This window comes from Homo sapiens, chromosome 6, assembly GCF_000001405.40.
Source record: "Homo sapiens chromosome 6, GRCh38.p14 Primary Assembly".
Classification (NCBI taxonomy): Eukaryota; Metazoa; Chordata; class Mammalia; order Primates; family Hominidae; genus Homo; species Homo sapiens.
In genome coordinates, this window is record NC_000006.12 from 109,775,482 (window position 1) to 109,801,519 (window position 26,038).

The window sequence follows — 26,038 nt, forward strand, 5'->3', positions numbered from 1 at the left end:
GCTGAAAAGTGCAAAGCTTCTCTAGATTATATTAAGATATTTTGAGGTACTACGTAGAATGAACTATTAAGTGCTATTAAGGCTATTTAAGAAGCAGAAAGAATGTAATTGCCATAAGAGCATCATGTTTACTTTTGTATTATGTAAAGAGGGTACAAATTGGGGCAGTAATGTATGCATTATTTAATGCTTGATGTTTTCTCTCAACAAGTGCAAAGAAAGTCCCCAAATGTGCTCAGCATATAAACATGTCCCTTTTTATATATTACTTTTAGCCCGAAAGGTAAGTGCTGTTTTAATGGGATGCTTCCTGTCTAATATCTGAAATACATGTTTGATGTACCGTATTTCGTATTTCATTCATTTAGTTTTGCTGTAATGACCAAATAACCCAATGAGAACAGTGTTGCTAATTTCAGGTATATCTTGTTCGCTATAACTGTTGGAAGAAAATTGATTTTATAATAATGTTACCTTGTTCCAAATGCAGTCATTTCTACTGTGCTATCTTTTTAGTTCTATGCTCATTTTTGGAAAGAGGTTATTATTTATATTGTGGATGTCTGCCACAAACTTCAATATACAGGGCTCTGAGACAAGAATGGAAAGAAGGAAACGAGGAGAAAGAACGAAGGACACTAGGGAGGAGAATGTAGAATGGGATGGGTGGTTCATGAGACCACTTCAGTGCATATTATCATTGTTACCAAAAGATAATTAGGAAAAGGAAGAGGAAGTAAAACATACACAGAGTCAGTTTTGTTACTTCATAGTATAGTTTAAAAGGTAATTTTGGAATGCTTGAATAGTTAGAATGAGGCTGTTACCATGTGCCTTCTTTGCCTTCATTTTCAACCACAAAAGAGAATGGGCCAGGCTCACAGCTGACAGGGACAAAATGTGTTGTAAACATTGTCTCTGTTAAAGAAAGGGAGAGTATCTTTTCAAGGATTAAAAGTGGAGACAATGCAACTGACTTGTTCAAGGTTGTGCAACAGAATATGGATAGAAATTGGGTCATTTTATTTGTCTCTGAAGTCTCTGCTTGTCTTTGCAATAAAGTGAAGATACATTTACTTCAGGTAAAATAACAAATGGTGAGGATATATTTTCATTTTAAAAATAAAATTGCTATCTAAGGTATTTACTATCTGAGTTCTTAAAGATGTTTAAGTGTCTCCAAATTCAACAAGCAGTTTATGTTCGCTATCATCTGTATATTTTATGAGAGGTATGGAACAAAGAGGAAACATTTTGAAGCAAGATTTTAATTCTGCTCCAAATCTTGGTAACTTATGTGTGTGTGTATGAAGTATTTGTATTTGTATGTATTTGAACTATAAATACTACTTTTGTACCACTATCCTCCTAAGAAAATATTCTCTTGAGTTATATATCCATCAGTAATGGATTTTCTGAAATATATATTTTGCTTTTTAGATGCCGATAGACAAGATTCCATTAATCTCTTCCTGGGAGTTTTCCATCCCACTGAAGGGAAACCTCATCTCTGGGAGCTCCCAACAGATTTTTATTTGCATCACAAAAATACCATGAGACTTTTGCCAACAAGAAGAAGGTATTTTTCTTCCTAGTCTGTAATATAAACTCCCATTTGGTGTTATTTTGAATATGAGATACTTTTCATTTTGAGAAATCATAGGCTAAAATAGTCAGTTTTATTTTATTTTTTAAAATTTTTAAAATTTTTTGTGGGTACGTAGTAGGTGTATATTTTTATGGGGTACATGAAGTGTTTTGATACAGGCATGCAATGGGAAGGAAGTACATCATGGAGAATGGGGTATCCATCCTCTGATGCATAAAGCAGTCAGTCTGGCCACATGCTTGCCATGAGTTCCGTACTATTGATGTCCTGATAGTAGGTTGGGGAAAATGTGGCTAGCAATTGTTGTTTTGTATTTTCTCTAAGATATGAAGTTTCAGAACTTCCTTGTTAAACAGAAGTTGTAGCTCCACTAAAGCAAACCAACAGTATCATCTTTGAGTGTTTCCTACAAACTTGAAACTCTCAAGGACTCTAAGATGCAGAGAGTCAGTCTTAGATTTTTCAAGTGTGACAGCTAAGCAGCATGTACCTTGTAATTCCAATATTCTCTCCTCCAGGAAACAACCAGTCTCAGTGACACTGGGAAGACGGGAAGCTAGAGCAGTGCTACTAGCTAGCGTCAGATAACCACTTTCATGTCCCCACCACTCACATGCTTGAGTCACTTGCCAGTACAGGTTATTTTGAGTACAGTTAAATTGGTAATATAATATTCTCAGAAGAAACAAACAGTTTACCTGAAGCAGTTTAGTGTGATGCTCTGTGGTGTGAGCCTCAGGATCAGGTAGAGTTGAGTTGGAATCTCTGCAGTTCTGTGACCTGGGTCGAGTAATTTAAACTCTCTAAGCCTTATTTTCCTTATCTGAAAATGTAAATGCCTGGACACACCTCACAGAGTCATTGTGAGGACTTAATGAGGAGGCTTTTTAGTGTTTTTAACTGAGGAGTCATGTACTATAATAATATAATCAATTTTGCCACATGAACAAAATTTTTTACATACCATACATGAAGTTAGAGCCTAGTCCATTGCACTCAAAGGCCTCTAATGTCAAGTTCTCCCATCGTGCTTTTCTCTTACAGCATCAGTTTGATAGAGCCCTAATTTTGCGCAAAGATACCTACCAGGCCGGGCGTGGTGGCTCATGCCTGTAATCCCAACACTTTGGGAGGCCAAGGCGGGAGGATTACCTGAGGTCAGCAGTTCGAGACCAGCCTGGTCAACATGGTGAAACCCCATCTCTACTAAAAAAAAAAAAAATACAAAAAATAGCTGGGCATGGTGGTACGTGCCTGTAATCCCAGCTACTCGGGAGTCTGAGGCAGGAGAACCGCTTGAGCCCAGGAGGCAGAGGTTGTCATGAGCCGAGATGGTGCCACGGCACTCCAACCTGGGCAACAAGAGCAAACCTCTGTCTCAAAAAAAAAAAAAGGATACCTACCAAACACTACAGGAATCATTGCCAGTCTGTGCTAATTGTGTGTATGGGACCATGAACAACTGACAGAGTTGCAAGTACAGCTCTTGCAGTTGTTTTTTTTTGTTTGTTTGTTTGTTTTTTTCGGAGACAGAGCCTCACTCTGTGGCCCAGGCTGGAGTGCAGTGGCGCGATCTCAGCTCACTGCAAGCTCTGCCTCCCGGGTTCACGCCATTCTCCTGCCTCGGCCTCCCGAGTAGCTGGGACTATGGGTGCCCACCACCATGCCCAGCTAATTTTTTTGTATTTTTAGTAGAGACGGGGTTTCACTGTGTTAGCTAGGGTGGTCTTGATCTCCTGCCCTTGTGATCTGCCCGCCTTGGCCTCCCAAAGTGCTGGGATTACAGGCGTGAGCCACCGCGCCCGGCTTCTTGCAGCTGTTATTAAGTTCTGTGTTGCTTCAGGAATATTTAAAATATTTGGAAGGTCTCAGAATTTGTATGTTTCTCAAATTTATTCTTATCAATGCATATTATTGGAATAACCAACTTAATACTTGAGCTTACTGTCCCTATAAATGGAGCACTGCTAATTTTTACATTAAATTTATTATTAATAAAATATTATTTACATGAATTTTTGCTGACAAAAAATTTGAAACTTTATTTGTTGAGAGATGGGTATAAATACCTATATTTATATTTATTGATGACAGTTAACCATAGGTAAATATGGTTGATTTTCTGAAATTTTGTATTACTTTAAAGTGTTGAAGCTATTTAGATACAGCTTGGGAACAGCCATAACTCAATTTTCCACTGCAGAAATTAGCTATGTATTAAAAGCATAATTTAAACCCCTTGCTCACCTTGAGTTACATCACAAAGGCAGGTGGTTTGAGAGTTTATATGTGGGAATAAAAGGAAGCTGGTATTACATCCCCATTTTCTAAAAAAGGAAATTGAGGTGCAGAGATAATGTCTTGGCTAAGATTATTCAGTTAGATGATTCAGTGAGAATCAGCTCTAAGCCTACCACTGAAAATAAAATTGTATCTAAGTAGATAATATGGCTTACTCAGTTGATTTAGGTCTCCTTTTTCTGTTTGTTTGTTTTTCCTCTAGAATGTCAAAATTCTGAAAACTATTTTTTGGTGTCAGGGGAAGAGGGAATTGATACTGTGCATAAACAATTTTTATAAATACTGTAAGATAAATTTCAGTGGGTTTTTAAAAAAACTTTCTAGTGTCACCCACCTGTACAGGTTATTTTGCTGACAGTTAAAGCAGCATTACAGTTCTCAAAAGAAATGAACAGTTTACCCAGAGGCAGCAACAGGACAAGAGCACAGAGCTCAGGCTCACGTAGAGCTGAGTTGGAATTTCTGCAAGTGTATGTGGCCTGCGACCCATTAACCTCTCAACCTCATTTTCTCACCTATAAAATGGAGATGATTATACATACCTCACAGGGTCATTGAGGCTTAAATGGGAAAATATATGGAAAGTACTTAATACTGGGTCTGACACAGAATAAACCCTGTACTGAAGTAGCCAGGCTCTGGAAAGCCTGCCTCCAGTTAATACCTGGGTGACCTTGGGCAAGTCACTTAACTGGTCTCATTCTGTTTCCACATCATTAAAACAGAGACAATAATAGTACCTAACTTACAGCTTTCTCTGAGAATCAGATGAGATCATATAAATGGTTAGCACCTAGCAAATACAATAGGTGTTAGTATTGTTACTGTCTTTGTTTTTGAGTCAGAGTCTGGCTCTGTCACCTAGGCTGGAGTGCAGTGGCGTGATCTCGGCTCACTGCAGCCTCTGCCTCCCAGGGCTCAAGCCATCTTTTCACCTTAGCCTTCCAAGTAGCTAGGACCACAGGTGGACACCACCACACCCAGCTAATTTTTGTATTTTTGGTAGAGACTGGGTTTTGTCATGTTGCCCAGGCTGGCCTCCAACTCCTGGGCTCAAGCAGTCTGCCCATTTTGGCTCCCAAATTGCCGGGATTACAGGTGTGAGCCACTGCACCTGCCCTGTTACTATTCTTTAAGGAGATAACATTCCCTAGTTTTTAACATTTATTAAAGATCATACGGGATGCCCATAAAGTCTGGAAACTTAGATAATGTGACTTATTAATGTAATATTAATAAAGACTTTATTATTTATTCATGAGTGTTTTGAAATTTGTGGCATGCTGTATCTTATACTGTGTTTATCAATGATACAGGAATGGTATAGATAATGGCGTGGCATATCTATGCCATGAAATAATACTTTTCTTGCACAATAAGGGAAGAGGGAATAAACTTAACTCTACCTAGAGTCATTGGAACAAGGTCCTCTTGAGATAAGTACTTCGATGACACAAAATCTCACATTGACTGATCTGCCTAAAACCACTAATTGAAGCTTTGTTCTGAATTTGATTAATATGGCATACAATCATCTAAGATTCCATCTAATGAACTGGTGTTTAGAATGTCACCAAGATGTTTTTAGGTATTAAGCATTAATTATTTCATTGACTCCTAGAGTTGGGAGATTTCTTGGCCTGCCCCCTGTCTGATATGTGAGTTCCCTTTCTGTTTCCCTAGGGAGAGAGAGAGGTAATCTGGCCTATGCTTGACAAGTTCTTGTTTGTCAACTGTTGAAGAGGCAGTTGTTTTGGAACAGTTCACTTACACAATTCTTCCTCATGTCATGCTGAGATCTGCTTCTCTGTAATCTTACCTATTAATCCTAGTTAAAGACCTTAAAAACAAGATTTCCTCATCCACTTGATAATCTTTTAAATATTTGAAGTTGAGTTCATACACTTTCAAAATCTCTTCTTCTACTGGTTAAATAGCCCCAGTTTCTTCAGCTGTTCCTCATATGCTGTGGTTTCAAGGCCCTCCAGCATTCGGAACAACACTCTCCTCTGTGTATATTCCAGTTGAGGTCAATGTTCTTCTTAAACTGTGGCCCCCAGATCTGGGTCCAATAATGGTCAGCATTTGGTCTGATTTGTGCTAGCTGTTCTGAGACCACTGGGACCATCACTCCCCTTGTCCTGGATGCTGTGTTTTCATTGATAAGCATAAGGTCACACCAGCCATCCTCAGCATTGCCATCACAGTGTGCATTCTCCAAGCTTCCTGTCTGTTAGAACTCCTAAGTCTTTTTAACATGTGCCGCTGCCACTCTGCCACATCTGTACCATTCTTGTCATGTTCGTATATGCTTTGCCTACTTCCAAAAAAAGTATTGAAATGTGTACCTTTAATGAATACTTCTAGCTTTATAGTTTCTTCAGATTTAATCAGTTGACCATCTTGATCCTAATTCAAGTACTTGATGAAAAATGTTGAGTACAGTAGGGTAAATGGCAGAACCCATTGATTTCTACCCACAGACAACTCCTTCCACATAACATTGTTTAGTGCCTTTGATTGTAATCATTTAAACAGCTGTAATTTCACTTAACTACACTATTGCCCTGCCCATATTTCTCTGTCTTGTTCACAAATATTGATTGCTCTGCTGACATTCATGAATGTTTCAGGGGGCTCCCAAGTTAGCTAGGAAAATTAGACAGTGTAAAAATTTTCCCTAACCTTCCTATGGAACCGAGAACTCTTAATAATACTAGGAACTGAAAAAGAAAAGAGAATCTGACTTACTAGCTCTTTTGTATGCAAAGAAGGGAGTGACACTAACTTGCAATCTCCTGTTTTCTGATCCCTGGTCCCAAAGCAGGTTTCTGACCCAGTGCATTGTTCTTCCTCTGGATAAATGTACCTGGTAGTAGAGGTGGTAAAGATTCCCCTATCTTGGGCTTAGTCGTCTTAGATGCTCTTATCCTCCATCCATTTTAGCTTATCTTCCCCAAGGCAGATATTTCTTTGCTTCTGAGACTCACCCAAAAGACTTGGAATCTTTTAAAAGTGTTGTTAAATTGCTACATATTGTAAGGGAAATACAATTTAGTAATATTTTTAAAAAGTTTATGGCCTGGTCTTAAATCATGAATACATGATTATCTTTTCATTTTTGCTCACCACAAGAATTCTGAGTTAAAACACATTTTTTGTAATGTCTACTTCTTCTTCCTAAGCAAGCTGATTGTAAGCAACATTCTTTAGGGAATTTCTCATATACTGATAACTTCTCTACTTTACTCGTCTGCCAGTGTTAGATCATCACAGAATTAGATTTACTCAGATGCATGCATACACACATGCATACACCCCTCTTAAACAATTAGTCCATGTCTTTTTCATTCCCCTGATCTGACAGTCTGATTTTCCTATTAGGAAAGGAAATGATATTAGCTTGGTGTGGCTTGTTTTTGTGAATAGATGTGAATTCAGAGAATGCATTGGCTATCTTTTTAGGTCACTTACAACACATCTCGATCTCATATTTGATTCTGTTATGTTGCTGGGATCAACATCACTTACATCACTTGTTGATGTCTGGTTTTTGGAATCTGTCACCCTCTCACTGCTGAGCATCAAGACTACTGTTATCCTCAGCAAACTAATGCAGGAACAGAAAACTAAACACTGCGTGTTCTCACTTAAAAGTGGGAGCTGAATGATGAGAACACATGGACACATGATGGGAGAGAACAACACACACCAGGGCCTGCAGTGGTGAGGGTGGAAGGGAGAGCATCAGTATGAATAGCTAATGGATGCTGGGCTTAATACCTAGGTGATGGGATGATCTGTGCAGCAAACCACTATGGCACACATTTACCTATGTAACAAACCTGCACGTTCCGCACATGTACCCCTGAACTTAATGAAAGTTGAAAAAAGTAAATAAATAAATAAATTCTGCTAAATGTAAAAATTAAAGACTGCATTGGCCCATTTCCAGTATCAGCTCCATGTTTCACTGTTCCTTAAAGATTATAGATCTCAGCTACACCGGGACACTAGCCTCTTGTAGAGACGCTCTAGCGCCTCCTTCTGTCTTCTGGGTTGTACACAGTTCCCTCTTGTGTTTTTTCTTTCAGGTGCGAAACTTGTTATGGCTAGGGAGGATAGAAACAGTACTGGAATTAAGTAGCTCTACTTTCTCTGTCATTGCTTTCAGCTTGGCACTTTCAACACATAGAGCAGTGTCTGACACATAGCAGGTGCTTAATAAATGTGGAATAACTGAATGAATTCTTCACAAGCAGCAGCCTTATCCTTGCTCTGTTCTTCTCATATTCAAAGCCTTGTTATTGAAAAGGGGTTGGAGGATCTGCCCCTTTGGTTTTGCTCAGGAGTTTGTCATAGAGGCAGAATCTCAGGCCCCACCTACTGAATCATCTGCCTTTTAACAAGATCCCAAAGTGATTTACATGCACATTGAATTTTGAATAGCACTGCTGTAAAGCATAACTTCAGTCTAAAACAAAACTTTAGGAACCTTTCCTGTTAGAACAGTGATTTGCCCCACACAATTCATTAGGCTTCATATTCCTTTTTTCATCATTAGTGGTTGTGTATTCTGCTTGCCATCCCTAGGAGAGTTCCCTGTGTTGCCAGTTTCATTTGGATACTTTCCTGTTGCTTCATAATCAGGATTATTCAAGATTGTAATTTCAGCTTTATATTTTTAGAAAGCCTTTCATTTATATTAAAATCTCTTTTTAGCAATTTTTGGCTATAGGCTCTTTTTTTAATCTTTAGAAATCTGATTTTTAAAAAATTCTTCTCCTTCCTAGCTCTCATGAACTTTGACATATATCCTTTTCCTCTAAATATTCATTTCATTAGAATTTGATTGAGAATTAAATTAGGTGTTCAGAGAGAAGGCCACTTAGGATTCTTTCAGATTCTTTGCTTATAGCAGACGAGCCTTCTAGCAGAAATCCAGACAGGTGACATTCTTTACTCTTACTCTGACTAGCTTCTGTAATCAAGTAGCACATATTTACAGTTAAAGAATAACGGTCTATACTGCTTTCTAAGGGAACTTGTTCGTTAGGACTGTCTAATTCGTTCCTTAATGATTTTGCTTAACTGTTTTAACTATACACACAGGTGTGTACTATACAGCAGAGTAGATTCTAACTATCAGATAACTACACGCAAGGGAATCCTGGTTGTAGGACTTGGGTCAAGGTCCCACTACTCACCTGGTGGCAGAGTAAGTCACTGTAGGCACAGTCCCTGGGAGAAGTTAACAGCAGTTCATAGAGTCAGCTTATTACCTTCTAATCCTTTTTAGCTAAAAGTAAATAATATCAGAGCATCTTGACTCTCAGGTGTATTCATGGCATTTTTGTAGATCTGCAACATAGTTGAAGGAAGAAAGCAGTTGGGAAGGGAATTACCATGTTGAAGACCTACTGTGTCAAAAGCTTTGCAAACATGTTTTAAAAAGAAAAATATTAACTTTGAAGTAGGAACATGTTACTATAGACCATATAAATTATTTTATCCAGTAAATTTTAGAAAACCAACATTTACATTTGGTTCATCTTTTTTTTTAATTTTTATTTTATAGTTATACTTACTGGTGGACACCAGAGGTGATAAAGCATTTACCATTGCCCTATGATGAAGGTAGGTAACTGTTTGTGTTTTAGTTTTTACACTAACATATTTTGGCATTATACCTTAATGAACTTGAAGCATTAAATCCTTTGCACATAGTATTTTATTAGAAACAAATGAATGGCTGTTCAGTATTATGTTGCTGCTTTAATAGATAGGATATTATAACATCTCTTAGCTTTTTAAAGGGCAGGAATTATATTATACTTCTTTTTATCTATGTAGGCCAATACCTTGTATTGTGTCTTACAATTATTATGTGTCTGTCAAATATTTAGTCAGTAAAATATGATATATCGGCTCATCACTTTAAACTAATACAGTTTATATTTCTACATATTTTGGGAGAATGCGGAGGAAGTAAGGACCTATTCACAAGGAGAACTTAAAACTTTTTTCCTGTGCTAATAAGCAGTGAAAAAAGGTACAGATGCATGTATAAAAGTACATTTTAGTCACATTTAAATTAAATTTCATTAATTTGTCAGAGGGGCAGGAAACATTCTATATTAAAGGAAAACCTTCAAGTGTATAATACATTAGAATGATGTTTCCAAATTTAAATAATTGCCAAATTTTAAATAAAGCTTAGTTCTGGCTTTGTTACTAACTCCCCTGACCTTGAGCAAGCTCATTTTCCATTTGGTAAAGGGTTCCTAGCAAGATCTCCTGCGAATCTGGAATGCTCCAATTGAGGACTCCATCTAGTCATGCTTCAGCATCCCAACTTTGGGTGGGGAAGGCCATAAAGTAAGATTACAAAGTATTTTTGGTTCTTATTAAGTTATAAATTCATTTTGGAAGGTATTTGTAACTTGAAATTCTGGGCAAAATCATTACTCATATTGCTGAAAAGGTTTAGTTGTTCTGGGAGAAAGGAAAGGGTTTTAACTAACAGTGGCTATTAACAGAATTTGAAATATAAAGGGAAACTTAGGGAAAAAGCTGTACAATTTTTAGCTAAAACACAAAGGGCATTTATTTAAGAGCAAAAAGGAATTTAAAGAACCTCCTCTAAATAACTGCCTGCTCCCATTGGACTTCCTGAGGCCCTCCTGGCTCCTTAGAGCTTGTTGAACTCAGCTTTGCATTGTATTTTCTATGCATCTATCTCATCTCCTTTCTAACTGTGTAAGTGTTGGAGGCAGGAGCTTACCCTCGGTCAGGGCTGTATCCCCCACAGAGCTTATCACAGTGCTGTCTGTGAACACAGTTAATATTATGGAAATGTTTGCTTGCTATAATCTCAGACTTTTAGAGTAACATGCAGTATCTCTCTTAGTTATCTGTGCTGTGAACTTAAAGAAGTTGATAGTGAAGAAATTCCACAAATATGAAGAAGAGATTGATATCCACAATGAGTTCTTTCGGCCATATGAGTTGAGCAGCTTTGATGATACCTTTTGCTTGGCTATGACAAGCTCAGCACGGTATGTTGTGTGTATTCTGATACCATAAGTATTTGAGAACTGTAGTTTTCCTAGTTTGTATATATATGTCTGTCTTTACCAGAAATCCATTCTGTAGGCCTTCTGTCAGGTGGGTAGTCCACCTTTGAATACCTCCTGTGATGGGGAGCCCACTACTTCAAGAGGCAGCCCCTTCTATTGTTCTATTGACAGTTGGAGTTGATTTCTCCCCTTTGATAGGTTGAAATCTGCCTCCTATTAGTCCTAGTTTGCCATTTGGAATAAACTCAGTTTTTTCACTGAACATAGAAATTGAGAGTTGACATAAATTAGTGGGAAAAGCATCATCTTTGGTACTAGAAAGGCTAGGATGTGAATCTTAGTTCAGCCACTTCCTGTGTGACCTTGGGAAAATTATCCAACTTACCTGAGCATTATTTTCTTAATCTGTCTTTCTCTGTCTCTCTTCTTTCTCTCTCCCCCACACACACACGCCCCGCAAGTGCCTTTGTAGTGCCTGGTACAGGCAGGTGATTGATAAATGGTAGCTATTATTATTACTATTATTATTAGTCATAGGACAAATCTAGTTTCTCTTTTGCCTCAAGATATTTGAGGAAGCAGTATTCATTTTTTCAGGGTAAATATCCTTCATTTGTTCTTCCATAACTTATGTGGCATGGTTTCCATTCTCTCTCCATCCTAGTCTCTCACCTTCAGACACATTTCATTCTCTGTATCTCTTTTAGAATTTGATGGGACCCTTTAGGAAAAACGCTGGGACCAGAATAAGAAAATCGAGCAAAGAAAATTACTTGTTATATTTTATACTAAAATTTAATTTTTTATATTTCACATTTTCTTCAGATGTGGTATTTATATGCTTATACTTTGTGTGGTACATAGAAACATATTCTGTGGTTTTGTTTCCTAGAAATCACTCTACATTTTGCTTCAGTTTCAGATAGTTAGGAACAGTTCGAAATTCTTACTTGCTTGATTTTTCAAGTAAACTTGTTAAGGTTTAGCAGTTTTAACTATGAGACCTTTGTCATTTCTAGAAGTTGTTAACTCAGCAAAAGATAAATGACATTAGGTATATGTGTTCATATACATATAAACCCTCACTTCACATCTTTGACAGCTTCTTGGAAACTGACTTTAAATGAAATGATGTCGGAAAAAACAACATTATTTAAGGACCTGCTGTACATTGTTTCACTGGAAGTCATAGTTTCCAAGAACCTATCAATGACATTAAGTGAGGACTTACTGTAGTTAATTGTGTTTGTGGTAGCTGTGTTCTATAAAGTCATTGCAAACACTGAATTAGTAAATACTGGACCATTGCTTCTAAGGGAAATACAGGGTTAGGTTCCTGAGAGCCTCTGGTCACATCATATTTGTCAACCAATCAATACATAACCTAGTTTTGTGTATGTTTTTGTTTAAAGACAGAAACGTAGTTAATATACAATCAGTCCCTGCCTTATAATGATTCAACTTACGATTTTTCAGCTTTACAATGGTGCAAAAGTTACATGCATTAGCTAGAAACTGTTCTTCGAATTTTGAATTTTGATTCAAAATTCTTTATAATAACTTTACTATAAAACAGGCTTTGTGTTAGATGACTTTGCACAACCATAAGCTAATGTAAATGTTCTGAGCACTTTTAAGGTAGGCTACACAAAGCTATGATGTACAGTAGGTTAGGTGTACTAAATACATATTCAAGTTACTATGGGTTTGTCAGGATGTAACCCCCATTCTAAGTTGAGGAGCATCTGTATATTGTTGATTTATTAACATAACACTCATGGCCAACAGCACTATAGCTCATGCCTGAATGAAGCTTATCTAACACACATGTTTTCTCTGTCAGGTGCATCCAAGCTTTCTTGTGCTTAGTAACACTAAACAGCTTCAGCACTATGTGTGGGGACCATCTTAAATAGCAAGATCACCAAAAAAGGCACCAAAAATGTGAAAAACATGGTGTCAAATAGACTGTGAAAAAGACACTCATTTACGATAGGAGAGCAGAAATTAAGAAGCGGAGTACCCCTTGTTCAGCCTCAGCTGAGAACATAAGCAAGGGATTCAAAGTTTTCACCACTCTGTACATGCACATGTCTGCAGTGACTGTGAAAGTACCACGAGGATTGATTTGGGGGTTACAGATACACCTTAGTGAGCAAGCAGTCTCACAAACATGGAATGTGCAAATGAAAACGATCAATTGTGTATGTTCAAAAAGAAAAGAATTTAAGCCAGTTACATCTTTGAAACATTTGCAAATGTTAAAATAGCTATTTTAGGCCAGAATCAAGATTACTTTCTTTTCCTTCAAATAATGTGATATTCAGTCACACGCTTGGAGCAGTGTCCTTGCCAGAAGCCAGGAGTCTTATCCATCAGAAATCCTGGAACTGTTGCGTTTTTGGCATCTACTGTGGAATCTGGTCTGGCTTCAGCAGTAATGGTGAGGTGGCCTTTGCATAATGTGGAAGCTTTAGCTTATCTCAGTAAGTGGTAAATTAAAAGAGTTTCTATTTAAAGTGTTCCGGCAGTGTTTTAATGAATTAACCTCAGCCTAATGAGGTAGATGTTGGTATTTCAGTTCATACCACTGTGTTTTTGATCATTATGTCTACCTCCTTAGGTGGTATAGCTTAAAAATGTTGTCCATGAAACTGAACAGCTTAGTGTTTTGTCATTGGCCTTTAGGAATTTAAATTTTACCTGAGAACTAATCATGATATATAACCAGATTAACCAGATGGTATACATCTTAGCAGAAGTTCAGATGTCAACACTGTTATAGTAGATGATACTTAAATTCAAAACTACTGGGCCTTGTGATCATAGAGAATTCACAGTTAAGACTGATAACATTGAAATTATCTAGTGCTGTTAATTAATGGTTTTATGTCCCTATTGGGCCTCGTGATCATAGAGAATTCACAATTAAGACTGATAACATTGAAATTATCTAGTGCTGTTAATTCATGGTTTTATGTCCCTGACAAGTTGGCTCAGAATATGTAATATGTAACTCCTAGAGTTAAGAAGGAATATTGTAAGAGTGTGAACTGAGATGGAAGCCAATATCATCTGGATGGACAGTAATTCATATGTAATTGTGTTTTCACCTTTCTTTAGTGACTTTATGCCTAAGACCGTTGGAATTGATCCAAGTCCATTTACTGTGCGTAAACCAGATGAAACTGGAAAATCAGTATTGGGGTAAGATTTGTGTATAGAACGAAACTTTAAAGATTTGTGTAAAAGAATAGTACTTGCAATATGATTTCCACCAAAAACTAATAACTTCAGGTCATATATAGTTTATTAATAACACTGGGATCACTAAGGTGTTCAATACTGAAAGTAGAATTTATGGGAGTTTCAGCAATACAGTGCATTTTATTGTTTTAAATTGGGAATATAACAGATGACATAAAGGCAGGTGACAGATATGATGTCTTATAAATAACTCAGCATTCTCTGTTTCCCAACATGAAATAGTTAAGTAAAAATTTGTATTTATTATATTTATTTTGTTGGCATCCTCAGTAACATAAAAGCAAATATACCCTGTTACGGAACTTAATAGATTTTTCTGTGCATTGCTATAACATTATTTGGGGGAAGACTATTATTTTATTCAGTCCAGTAAAGAAGAAGATATACTGTGTTTGCATCTTCATGCTTAAGAGACTGGAGTGAAATGTGTTGTTTCCTGGCATGAGAACCTCTTTCCCTTCCACTGACCTGCCTAGTCTCAGTGACAGATTTCTTCTAGACTCTGGCCACATACCCCAGCCAGACTGCAGATACAGAGTCCTAATTGTATGGAATCTTAATTGTATTCTAGCTATGTGTGATTTATCCAATGGGACATATATTGATATTTTCCAGAAACACTATTTCTGTGGCTTTTATATGTAGCCTTTAAATAGCTCATGTTAAGCCCTGACCAGATGCTATGAGGAATTTAAAAGAAGGAAGGTCTTCAGGAGTTTGGAATTCAGGGAATTCCCAGAACAAATAAGTAAATGACCAGCTATATTAGTGTGTGTCACAGAAACGTTACCAACTTTAATTTTTAGTTGCAAAAGGTCAGAGACTGCTTGTTTTCTGCAATATCTAACCCATGGTCACATAAAATTGCATTTTCCTTTCCTAGAACATTTCAAAATATTATGGTATTTTTAGCTCCTTATAGAGAATTTTTTAAAGAGTGAAATATTAAACATTTTTCATAAAGCAAAAAGTATTACTATAAATGGTTTTCTGAATTTAAAAAACAGCATTCTTACTACTCTTCCAATTTGGCATTAAAATGAAAGTAAATACTTTTATAAGTGTAGGGTTTTCCCCCCTTCTATTCCCTACTATTAAAGGGAATGTTCAGCAAATACACTTGTTTACTAATAACACAATAAAATTTAAAATGTAGTTTATGTTCATCAGTTGTTCATTATTTGGATACACTATGATTGATAAAAAATTTATAGGCGGGAGAGAAATATACATAGGTTTGGCTACCCACTTTTTCTTGGACCTTTTATGAGTTACAGCTAATTTTAATAATATCCCAAACATACAGTCTTCTATAATTGTAGGGTAAGTTTTGAGAATATTGATATCAGTTACCAAAGGAAGGCATGGTAACCAAGTGGTGAGAAGATTTTTTCACGCTCTGCAAGTAATTTTCATTTATTTTTTGAATTTATAACAGGGCTTATATTCATATAAGGTCAGTGCATGGACATGGAGAAATATGAACCTTTTCCCTGTAGCACAACCTGAATCCAGAAACTAGTGTCACAGTCATTTTCTTATGCTTCACTAGGCCTAAGGCTTTGGGACAGAGTGATAGACAGTGGGTGTTGAGGGTTAGTTTAAAGATGCTTCACTTCCATATTATTCTTTTAAAAGAAACAAAAGCAATAGAGAAGAAGCTGTATTACAGCGGAAAACGGCAGCCAGCGCCCCGCCGCCCCCCAGCGAGGAGGCTGTGTCCAGCAGCTCTGAGGATGACTCTGGGACTGATCGGGAAGAAGAGGGCTCTGTGTCTCAGCGCTCCACTCCCGTGAAGATGACTGATGCAGGAGACAGTGCCAAAGTGACCGAGGTGCGGGGGAGGGAAGCCTGTGGCATCCAGCCTGAAGCCCTGGAAAATGATCTTTACAACTCCGCTTTCAGTTAAAAGGCTGAGAGCAAGAAAATGTCACATTATCTCACTGTTGTGTTTGAGGCACTGCATAAGATGAATACATTTAGCATTTACATGATTTTATTTCATTTCAAAATAAAATTGGTGTTTTTGCTCGCATGTGTAATGGTGAATTTCTGATCCTTTCAGAATTTTCAAGTGAATTCTGGCCCTCTTTGATCAGCCCATCCGCTTGAGGTCCATTTATTCTCTTACTGGGCACATTGTTGGATCACAGGATTTAGACGTGGCCTTCACAATCTTTGAATGGCTGCAATGGGAAATTCATCCTGTTCAATTCAATATTACTGATAGATTGGGGGAAACAAATAGAAATAAGCAACAAAAGGACCAACTCTAGCTTTGGGGAAATTTGATTTCTAGAAATATCCAAAACTCATTTAGAAATGGATAAGGCAAATAAAAATGTGTTAATACAAGAGCTAAATCCATGTTCCAGAAGTTGGCAAACTATGACATATTGGCCAAATCCAGCCTGATGCCTTTTTTTGTAAATAAAATTACACTGGAATCCAGCCATGCCTGTTTGTGTTTACTCATTGTATGTGACTACGTTTGCACTATAACAGCAGAGCTGAGTATTTGCAACAGAGACAGCATAACCCAAAAAAGTTTAAAATATTTGCTATCTGGCCTTTTACAGGATAAGGTTGCCAACTCCTGCATTATACAAAAACACCTAGTAATTATTTAACAGCTTTTTAAAATCCTAGAATAAACTATTTTTAGCAGAAATGGAAATCAAAATTTTTTAAAACCATCAACTAAGAAGTTTAATGAACAGGTTAAAGAAGCACTGTGATTGCTTTTGTGGAAAAATTCACAGTTTCATTTTTTTGGGGAAATTATTGATATGCTATATGTCTAAAAATTCTTCCTGGTTCTTCTTTTTTTTTTTTAAACCCCAGAATGTGGTCCAACCCATGAAGGAGCTATATGGAATTAACCTCTCAGATGGCCTCTCAGAAGAAGATTTCTCCATTTATTCAAGGTGAGATACTTTCATGTAGATATTAAAGAAAAATGAATATTTATAATTACAGTAACTTCTAACTACTATACCTTTTTTTTTTTTTTTTTTTGGAGACAAGAGTCTTGCTCTGTTGCCCAGGCTGTAGTGCAGTGGTATGATCTCGGCTCCTGAGTAGCTGGGATTGCAGGTGCACGCCACTATGCCTGGCTAATTTTTTATATTTTAGTAGAGACGGGGTTTCACTGTGTTGCCCAGGCTAGCCTCAAACTCCTGAGCTCAGGCAATCCGCCCACCTCAGCCTCCCAAAGTGCTAAGATTACAGGTGTGAGCCACTGCGTCCAGCCTAATATAACTTTTAAGAAATGAAAATAGTCAGCAATACAGAAGAAAATGAATTCCACTTAAAATGCAGTTTCAGCATTGAGGCGGTCAAATTCTGAAACATTGATTTATATACAGAGTTAAAGTGCTAAATGCCTGAGACTCTGCCCCTCAATGATAAAAATTTATGATGCATGCAGGTATCTGCACTGCTCATATGTAAACTACAAACCAAAGTACCAGTACATTCCTGCATTTCTAAATCCTCAAGATCAAAGTCCCTTCTCACAAAATAAATCTGGGATATTGACAAATGAGGACCTTGCATCACTTTAGGTCCTGGATGCTGGTGGGAGTGGTGACTGAGGAGGAAAAAGAAAACAGTAATAATAGGGTGCTAATTCACAATGTTATAGGCCTTTATTAGGCAAATCTAGTTGAAAGGAGGGGATACCCATAAGGCATTCCCTGAAATCATGTGCATAATTTCGTGTGTATGTGTGTCCTTTTGAGAAGATAGATTTAGCAGATTCTCAAAAGAATCCTTCACTCAGAAATCCCCACGAACCTGATGAGAACATTGCAAACACCTCCTCAGCTTAATACATGGATTTAGAAGACTTGATTATTGCATATGAATACAGTTCCACTTATACAAATTTGTAAATGTGTCTGTAAAATGTAAATTGTATAATATAAAATGAGCACTGATCTTCAGTTATTTTTAAATGAGGGCATTTCATTTACAGAATCCATTGAATTAGATATTGTCAGCTTTTCATTTCAATTAATAAAAACTACTCTATAATATATAAAATATAAAATGCACAGCATTTCCTGACTGCCAAAGCAGCTCCTGTAACTTGCACTTTTTTGAATATGCGTCATTGACTGGAAGCCAATTTAGTCATCAGAGCACAGCCACACCCTCCTCACTCTGACACACAAACACACAGTACTTATTCATCATGGCTGTCAGAACTCTGTAGCCAAACTCTGTAGTAGTTGAAGTGGGCCTTTACAAACCATGTGGCCTGAAGAATGAATTATCTGAAGTTACTGACTGAGTAATATGACTTTGTTTATTGCAGAGGGAATGAGTGTATGTGCCAAGGATTGAAGGGGTTACTTCAGGGGAGGGAGGAACCCATGTCCTAGAATAAAATTCTGTGTTTGATATTCTGAAGATAATACCTCCTTTCATTGTATAACAGTTTACACTGTTTTGTTTGTTCTTTAGGCAATTCTGTAGTAGATTAAAAAGATATTATCCCCTTTTATGGGCTAATAGCGCAGCAAGTAGAGCCATTTAGTGCCTTATCCAGGAGTCATATCCTGTGTTTCTGGGTACCGTGGGATTTTAGGCTGTTCCCTCCTTTTTGTTCTCTTGATCATAATCAGCTGCCTCTGCTTATGATGCAGACCTTGGGGGAAGGGGAGAAACGGGGCTGATCATTCTTTCCCTGTGAGTACCCCTTCCTGTGGGCACACTGCCCTTACTGCCTTGCCTGCCCTGGAATATCTCCCCTCTCCATCTGCCATGGGCATTGCAGTAGGCAGAGGAATCCTCCCTCCATCAGTATCTGTGGGGTAACTGTGCCAGAGGGTGACCAAGGGATGTTCAGGGACTGATTGGCACCCACTTTTGGCTCAGCTAGGCTCTGGAGCTTTCTTAGTGCCTCCTCTGATCCAAAGGGGAGAGTTTCAAGGCAGGGCTAGAGCCCAGGTAGTTCTGCGCTGAATTGGCAGGTGCCCCTGCCACCCCGTTTCTGCACTCAGTTGGCTGGCTATGTTTGTGCACATAGTAGACAGTGACCTAGCCTGGCTTGCATGTAACAGCTCCCACCTGGCCTATCACAGAACCAGTGGAGAAGGGAAGCCACACAGCTAGAAGTGGTTTCCGCAGCCTGTCTTCCAGCTTCCCATTCTTCTGCCTGTTTTTCCTACCTTAGGCCTTGCCCACCTTTGGACGCCTAAGGATTTCTCGGTTTTGTAGTTTTTTTCTAATTGCTGAGCCCCGCTGTCTATGTCTTCCTTTTCCCTCACCTTTTCTAGTATCTTTGGTTTGCTATTTTACCAGACCTGAAAGCTTTCTACTTACTTCCTCAAAGCTTCATACACTTGCCAGTTTTTTTTTTTTTTTTTTTTTTTTTTTTTTTTTTTTTTTTGAGACGGAGTCTCGCTCTGTCGCCCAGGCGGGACTGTGGACTGCAGTGGCGCAATCTCGGCTCACTGCAAGCTCCGCTTCCGGGGTTCACGCCATTCTCCTGCCTCAGCCTCCCGACACTTGCCAGTTTTTAGAAAACTCTGGCAGTGATTGTACACCTGATTTAAGAAGTTTAAAGTTCTGTACAAATAATCAGTACTATGTGGCATTCTTCCCAAAAAATGGATCAACATTTTTTACTTGCTGAAGATATAAAGTTGGATAAAAGTAAGCTGTTTGAAAGTTTTTCTTTAGCACTGTAATGATACAATAATTGGTAGTTTCTGTAACACTTTCTTGACCTTTAAAAAAGCTAATGAAAAACAAATGGTAAACTTTTCCATAGTCTTCAAAGAAAATACTTTTAAGTAGTTAAAAAAATGGAAAGGAAATAAGGAAATCTGTTCTTTTGGTTTCAGTCCTTTTTTTTTTTTTTTTTTTTTTTTTTGAGACAGTCTCTCTCTGTCACCCAGGCTGGAGTGCAATGGCATGATCTCGGCTCACTGCAACCTCCGCCTCATGGGTTCAAGCAATTCTCCTGCCTCAGCCTCCTGAGTAGCTCGGACTACAGGTGCATGCCACCATGCCCAGCTAATTTTTTGTGTTTTTAGTAGAGATGGGGTTTCACCGTGTTAGCCAGGATGGTCTCGATCTCCTGACCTCATGATCCGCCTGCCTCGGCCTCCCAAAGTGCTGGGATTACAGGCATGAGCCACTGCGCGTGGCCTGGAAATCAGTTCTTCAGACCTGCCCTGTAACCTCCCATGGGCAAATTAGAACAAAACTACAAAACCGTATCCTTGAAGGAAAGACAGATCCATGCAGTCCAAGCAGGCTTCCAGCAGATATGCACTCCAGAAAGCTGCTGGGTATCCTCTCTGCCTGCTGAGTTGGCCCAGGCCATTTCCTCTGGCTCTTAGCTCAAAGCCTGCCTTAGTGCTGTTCAAGTCTGAGAAGTGCTGTTCAAGACCTTTCAGAAGAGGTCATATGGCCGTTGTGCTCATCAGTGGGTCTCCCCAACCTTGGTTGAAAGTGTTCCTCTTTGAAGTGGCTAGAGTACTTGGTGGGGGGATTCTTGTGGTCCAGAGGAAACCTAGTCTGTGGCCGGCTCTTAGCAGTGTCCCTGCTTCAGGAGGTGGATCCCCAGCCTGATCCTGCCCTTTCCACGTCACTTGTCTCACTGCCAGCACCATCCTGCATGCTTCCCCCCATGCTTCCTGCATTCCACGCATTAGATATTTGTCACCCTTAGATGTGTGAGGCTCTGCAAGATCATCTTCCTGGCTTCAGGAACATTTCTGTTCAAGTTCTGCACCATGTTTAAATTAATAGAAGTTCAATGGCATGCACATTTGATTTCATTCTTTTATCCATGGTTATGACTTACATTTTAAGTAGAATCCCTTTTCCTACTTTTAACAAGCCCACTTTAAAATCAGGCAAAGTCTTATGTTACATACAGTACTCTTAGGTGTTTTTCTGAAATAAGCATACTACTGAAATTTGAAAGCTTACACCATTTTGTGTGATCTACTGAATTAATTGCAAGTACTCCCTTCTTTAGCTGACTCTTATCCATTGTAATTTGTAGATTTGTTCAGCTGGGGCAGAGTCAACATAAACAAGACAAGAATAGCCAGCAGCCCTGTTCTAGGTGCTCAGATGGAGTTATAAAACTGTAAGTACTAGATTAGATCTTTAAAGAAATCTTTGTATTCATGCCACTCATAGGGCTTTCTTTAAAGACTTTTTAAGAAAAAGATTCACTCTTGTCACCAAATTAGTATAAGCACCAAAGTGTCTCCTTGTGGTACCTTACTTGAGGAAAACTGGGTCTCTGAGGGATAGGGAAGAGGTTGGCAGCCCTAATGGTCCTGAAATGCATCTTTGGAGGTGGGTTTGGCATTGTTGGAGGCTTCCAACCATGAACTCTGCCCTCCACTGGGTAGAAGTGGGATGGTGAAACAGCTCTGATCCTGGAGACATGCTCAAGTTTAATACAAGACCTTTGAGGATATGGATCGATTTGTCTCTTCTAGCTGTATATCCCCATCAGTTCTAATAACTTGCTGTAAGTTAAACAGGTGTTTTGTGAAATCTTAAATAAACGGAACTATGTTCAAATCATACTACTTCCCAGTTTTTTACCTTGAGCAAATGACTTAACTGCTGTGTTGTTGAGTTTCCTCATCTGCAAAAGGGAATAATAACACCTACTTTGTAGGACAGTGATGAGACTCAAATGAAATAATGTACACAAAGTGCTTAGAGTAGTGTCTAGAATACGTTCTGAAATAGTTGTGATCACCATCATCATCCTCTTCATATTCATCATTATTGCCTGCTTGTTGGGACCTAACAAAGCAAAGGGTTGTGACCAGAAGAGGCTCCCTGATGCCGTATGCTCAGTTGAGTTGCTTCCATAAAATGGGTCACTGTGGGCGGGGCATGGTAGCTCACGCCTGTAATCCTAGCACTTTGAGAAGTTGAGATGGGTGGATCACCTGAGGTCAGGAGTTTGAGACCAGCCTGGCCAACATCATGAAACCCGGTGGCCACTTAAAATACAAAAATTAGCCGGGCATGGTGGTGCGTGCCTGTAATTCCAGATACTCAGGAGGTGGAGACAGGAGAATTGTTTGAACTCGGGAGGCGGAGGTTGCAGTGAACTGAGATTGCACCACTGCACTCCAGCTTGGGTGACAGAGTGAGACTCCATCTCCAAAAAAAAAAAAAAAAAAATGAGTCACTGTGGAAATTCAGTGAGGTAGTATATGTGAGGCATCTAGATCAGTGTCTGGCATACACTTGACATTTAGTAAATGTTCTCTTCCGTTTTCTTAGATCAGTTTTATCAGTTTGATCAATTAATTGTTTATTTGAATAGGTATTGATTGCCTAACTTCTCTGTGTCTCACATCTGCAGGTTCTTAATTGATGGCTCACAGTAATTACTATTAGTAATGGCTCATAGTAATTACTATTACAGTAATACAGCAAAAGCCTTTTAGAGAGTAGTAGCTGTGAGGATTTTGAGAATGGGATGGATCTGGAAAATAATCTTAAGTGGTGAAATGGACAGAACTTGGATCCTGACTCAGAGAGTGGGGAACAAGAGGGTGTTATTAAGGATGACCCTTAGGTTTTTTGGTTTGTGTAACAGTTTTGATTGATTCATGCATTCATTTGCCTACTCATTCAACACATAGGTATTGAATATGTCTGTGTTAGGACCATTTAAAGCTGCCATTCACTGAGGTTAGGAGCACTGCAAGAGGACCTGGTTTGCCTTTAATGTAGCATCAAAGTGGAGAAGTTTAGGAGACAGTTGGATCAACCAATCTGGAACTCAGAAGAGAACCTGGGCTGGGGATGTAAATGCTCATGAGTAATAATGAAAGTCAAGGATAAGTTAAGGATGAGACTACCTAGGAAGCGAGACTACAGTGAGAACAGTCTGCAGCTGATCTTGGCAGGGATCTGGGTCTAATGGCTGAGACAGAGACATAGAAAAACCTGCAAGGGAAACAGAGATGGCTAATCAGAGAAGTGGAAAGAACCCCAGACCATATTTTATCACAGCCTTCAAAAATGCTGTTTATCCTTCTTTCTCTCCCCAACACTATTTTTTCTTTTTTTCCTCTTTTTTTTTTGTTTGGCATATAAGCCCCTATTAATTTAGAGACCACTTTGTGTTGTTATAACTATTTAGCATATGGAACTATGGGCTCTCAAATGAATTGAAATAGATATGTCCAAGGAAGGAAACTATTTAAATGTGCTAGTAAAATAAGAGACTCTATTAACCAAATTGTATTATACAAAGTGATTATTCCACTAAAATAATATGATACAACTTAGGAGGAGATGATGAAATGAACATAGCATACAAAATAAAAACAAAACATTTCCCCCGTTTTCTTAACATTATTTCTGATTTGATCTGTAATTGATCTTACAGTTACTACTTGTGCATTCTTTTTCTTAAAATATTTAGTATTTGCCTGTGAGTCCTAGCACAGATGAAAACCACGTGGATCTAGAATTCTTTAACCTTTTCCACTTAATTAGTAAAGAATCTGTCATAATGGTGTTTTTACACAGCATCTTCAGCAAGATAACAAAGAGCTTGGTAGCTCAGCATTACATTGTCATGGCAACTGCCCAAGAATGTTTTTGGTGTTTTTGGGGTGTGTGTGTGTGCACGCACGTGTGCACAGGGACGTGCTTTAAATTGAAACTGTAGTCAGGTTCTTAAAATGTCGACTATTCATTTTTAGATTTCTAAAGCTATGTCCAAACCAAGAGAAATTACATTTATTTGGGATTCTTGAAATTCTCCTCTTGCTATGTTTTATTTTCTAGTATATTTAAGAGTCATAATAAGTTCAAGTTCATACACATATGCATCTACCCATCTCTGGATAGTTCATAATCTTACTCAGTTTTTCTTGAAATCATGAAGAAACCATTTTTTTCTTTTCTAAATATGAGATATTTATAACACCAAATGTAAAAAATATTGACAGTAAATAATTGGCAAGAAGCCAGTGGAACAGGGGCTCTTGAAATGAGCGTGCAGAGACATGAATGGGCAGCTGGACACTTTCAACCACGGTCTTGCAGGACTTTGCTTAGAAGTGGATGTTAAACCCCAAACTGGTCAATGTCTGTACTGTCAGCCCAGGCACCCTAAGCTGTAGTTTGTGTGAGTGGGACCCCTCCCTGTGAGTCATAACCACTCCCTGAGTGTAGGGGTGGTGATCAGGGAGAAAGGGCATCAGCCAACATTGACCGAACACACTGTGTGATGGGCACTGTTCTGTGTACCATAGCCTGTTCTAAGTTCTCACAATAACCCTATAAAGTACATCTTATTATCATCTCCATTTTACAGATGGGGAAACTGAGGCACAGAGAAGTTATGTAACTTGCCCAAGGTGATACAGCTAGCAAGTAGAGGAACCAGGATTTAAACCCACACAGGATGGCTCCAGAGCCCATGATCTCCATCACTAAGCTATCAATGCCCGTTGTTGCCAGCTGCTTTCCAATCACTGGGGTAGCAATGCTTTATTATTAGCATTAACAGACCTCATTTTGGGCATCTGACATGACCTGGATTTTTAGACACCTCTATATTCAGAAATATTCAGAAATTCTAATATTTCTGCTCTGTCGATCTTGAGTTTTAAAAAATACTTAAGGAGAACATACCTTTATTCTTTCCTCAGTACCTAGCATACTGTCCCTAATGTAGACACACTTAAGTTTCCTGGGCAAGCATACTTTGCTTGACTGATTTGGTAACATGGCATGGAGGTTGTTTAGCCACCACTGGAACAGTGTTGCTGACATTATTGTAATCTTACAAGGTTATACATTTTTAGAGGGCAACCCATCTTTGTGTCTCTAGAACAGTAACTTAAATTGAGTGCTCAGTAAATATTTACTGAAATGCACTGACTCTCATCCCCCATCACACCCATGACCATCAGGGCCTGGTTGAGGCCCCATGAGCATCCCTAGAATGCTCCCTCCATGTCCCACTGGTTTTCAAGGGGGCATCCTTGAACACTTTTTAGTTCTTTCTCTATTGTGTTTTTTCCTTATAAACCCTTTGCCCCTCCTGCTTTTTTGTTCCCCTACTGCCTTCTGAGAGAGAGAAAAAAAATAAGCACACCAAGTTGTTAGCATTTTTTCCCCTTTAGTCTGCCTCTACTGCACCTGTGACCAAATGCCAGGTGAGAAGGACTGGAGTGGCAAGACTTGCTGTGCCTGGCAGGCAGGTGCTGTGGGGCCAGGCAGTGATTCACTATATTCGTGCAAGACCAACACGTTCTCATTTTACACTCCTACCAGTTCTTGAGAGATTTTAACTAAGCCAATCAGTGGTAGGTTGAAAAGGCATGAACACATATCATTAGTGCTTGCTTTTCTATGGTTCACCTATTCTAGGAATATGTCTCATTTAAAAATCACCTCTAAGAAATGGTTCAAAATATAATACAGTTTGTATAAATACCATGTATTTTAGGATTCTTCCAGCGCAGGATAAGCTGACATGTAATGCAGGGTAAATTAGTGTGCTTGGCCAGGCGTGGTGGCTCACACCTGTAATCCCAGCACTTTGGGAGGCTGAGGCGGGTGGATCACCTGAGGTTAGAAGTTCGAGACCAGCCTGACCAGTATGGTGAAACCCCATCTCTACTAAAAATACAAAAATTAGCCGGGCAAGGTGGCAGGCGCCTATAATCCCAGCTACTCGGGAGGCTGAGGCTGGAGAATTGCCTGAACCCAGGAGGTGGAGGTTCCAGTGAGCCGAGATTGTGACACTGCACTCCAG

General features: G+C 38.7%; 1 protein-coding gene across 2 annotated transcripts in view; it reads left to right on the plus strand.

Moving 5' to 3' along the window:
- FIG4 (FIG4 phosphoinositide 5-phosphatase) overlaps positions 1-26,038 on the plus strand; it is a 134,131-nt gene that overhangs the window by 84,186 nt on the left and 23,907 nt on the right. For both annotated transcript variants that reach the window (NM_014845.6, XM_011536281.4), the window contains exons 16-22: positions 1,441-1,579; positions 9,489-9,547; positions 10,821-10,968; positions 14,113-14,196; positions 15,895-16,090; positions 17,101-17,183; positions 21,284-21,370. In NM_014845.6, the coding sequence (NP_055660.1) occupies positions 1,441-1,579; positions 9,489-9,547; positions 10,821-10,968; positions 14,113-14,196; positions 15,895-16,090; positions 17,101-17,183; positions 21,284-21,370 (796 nt within the window). The remainder of the gene's footprint in view (positions 1-1,440; positions 1,580-9,488; positions 9,548-10,820; positions 10,969-14,112; positions 14,197-15,894; positions 16,091-17,100; positions 17,184-21,283; positions 21,371-26,038) is intronic.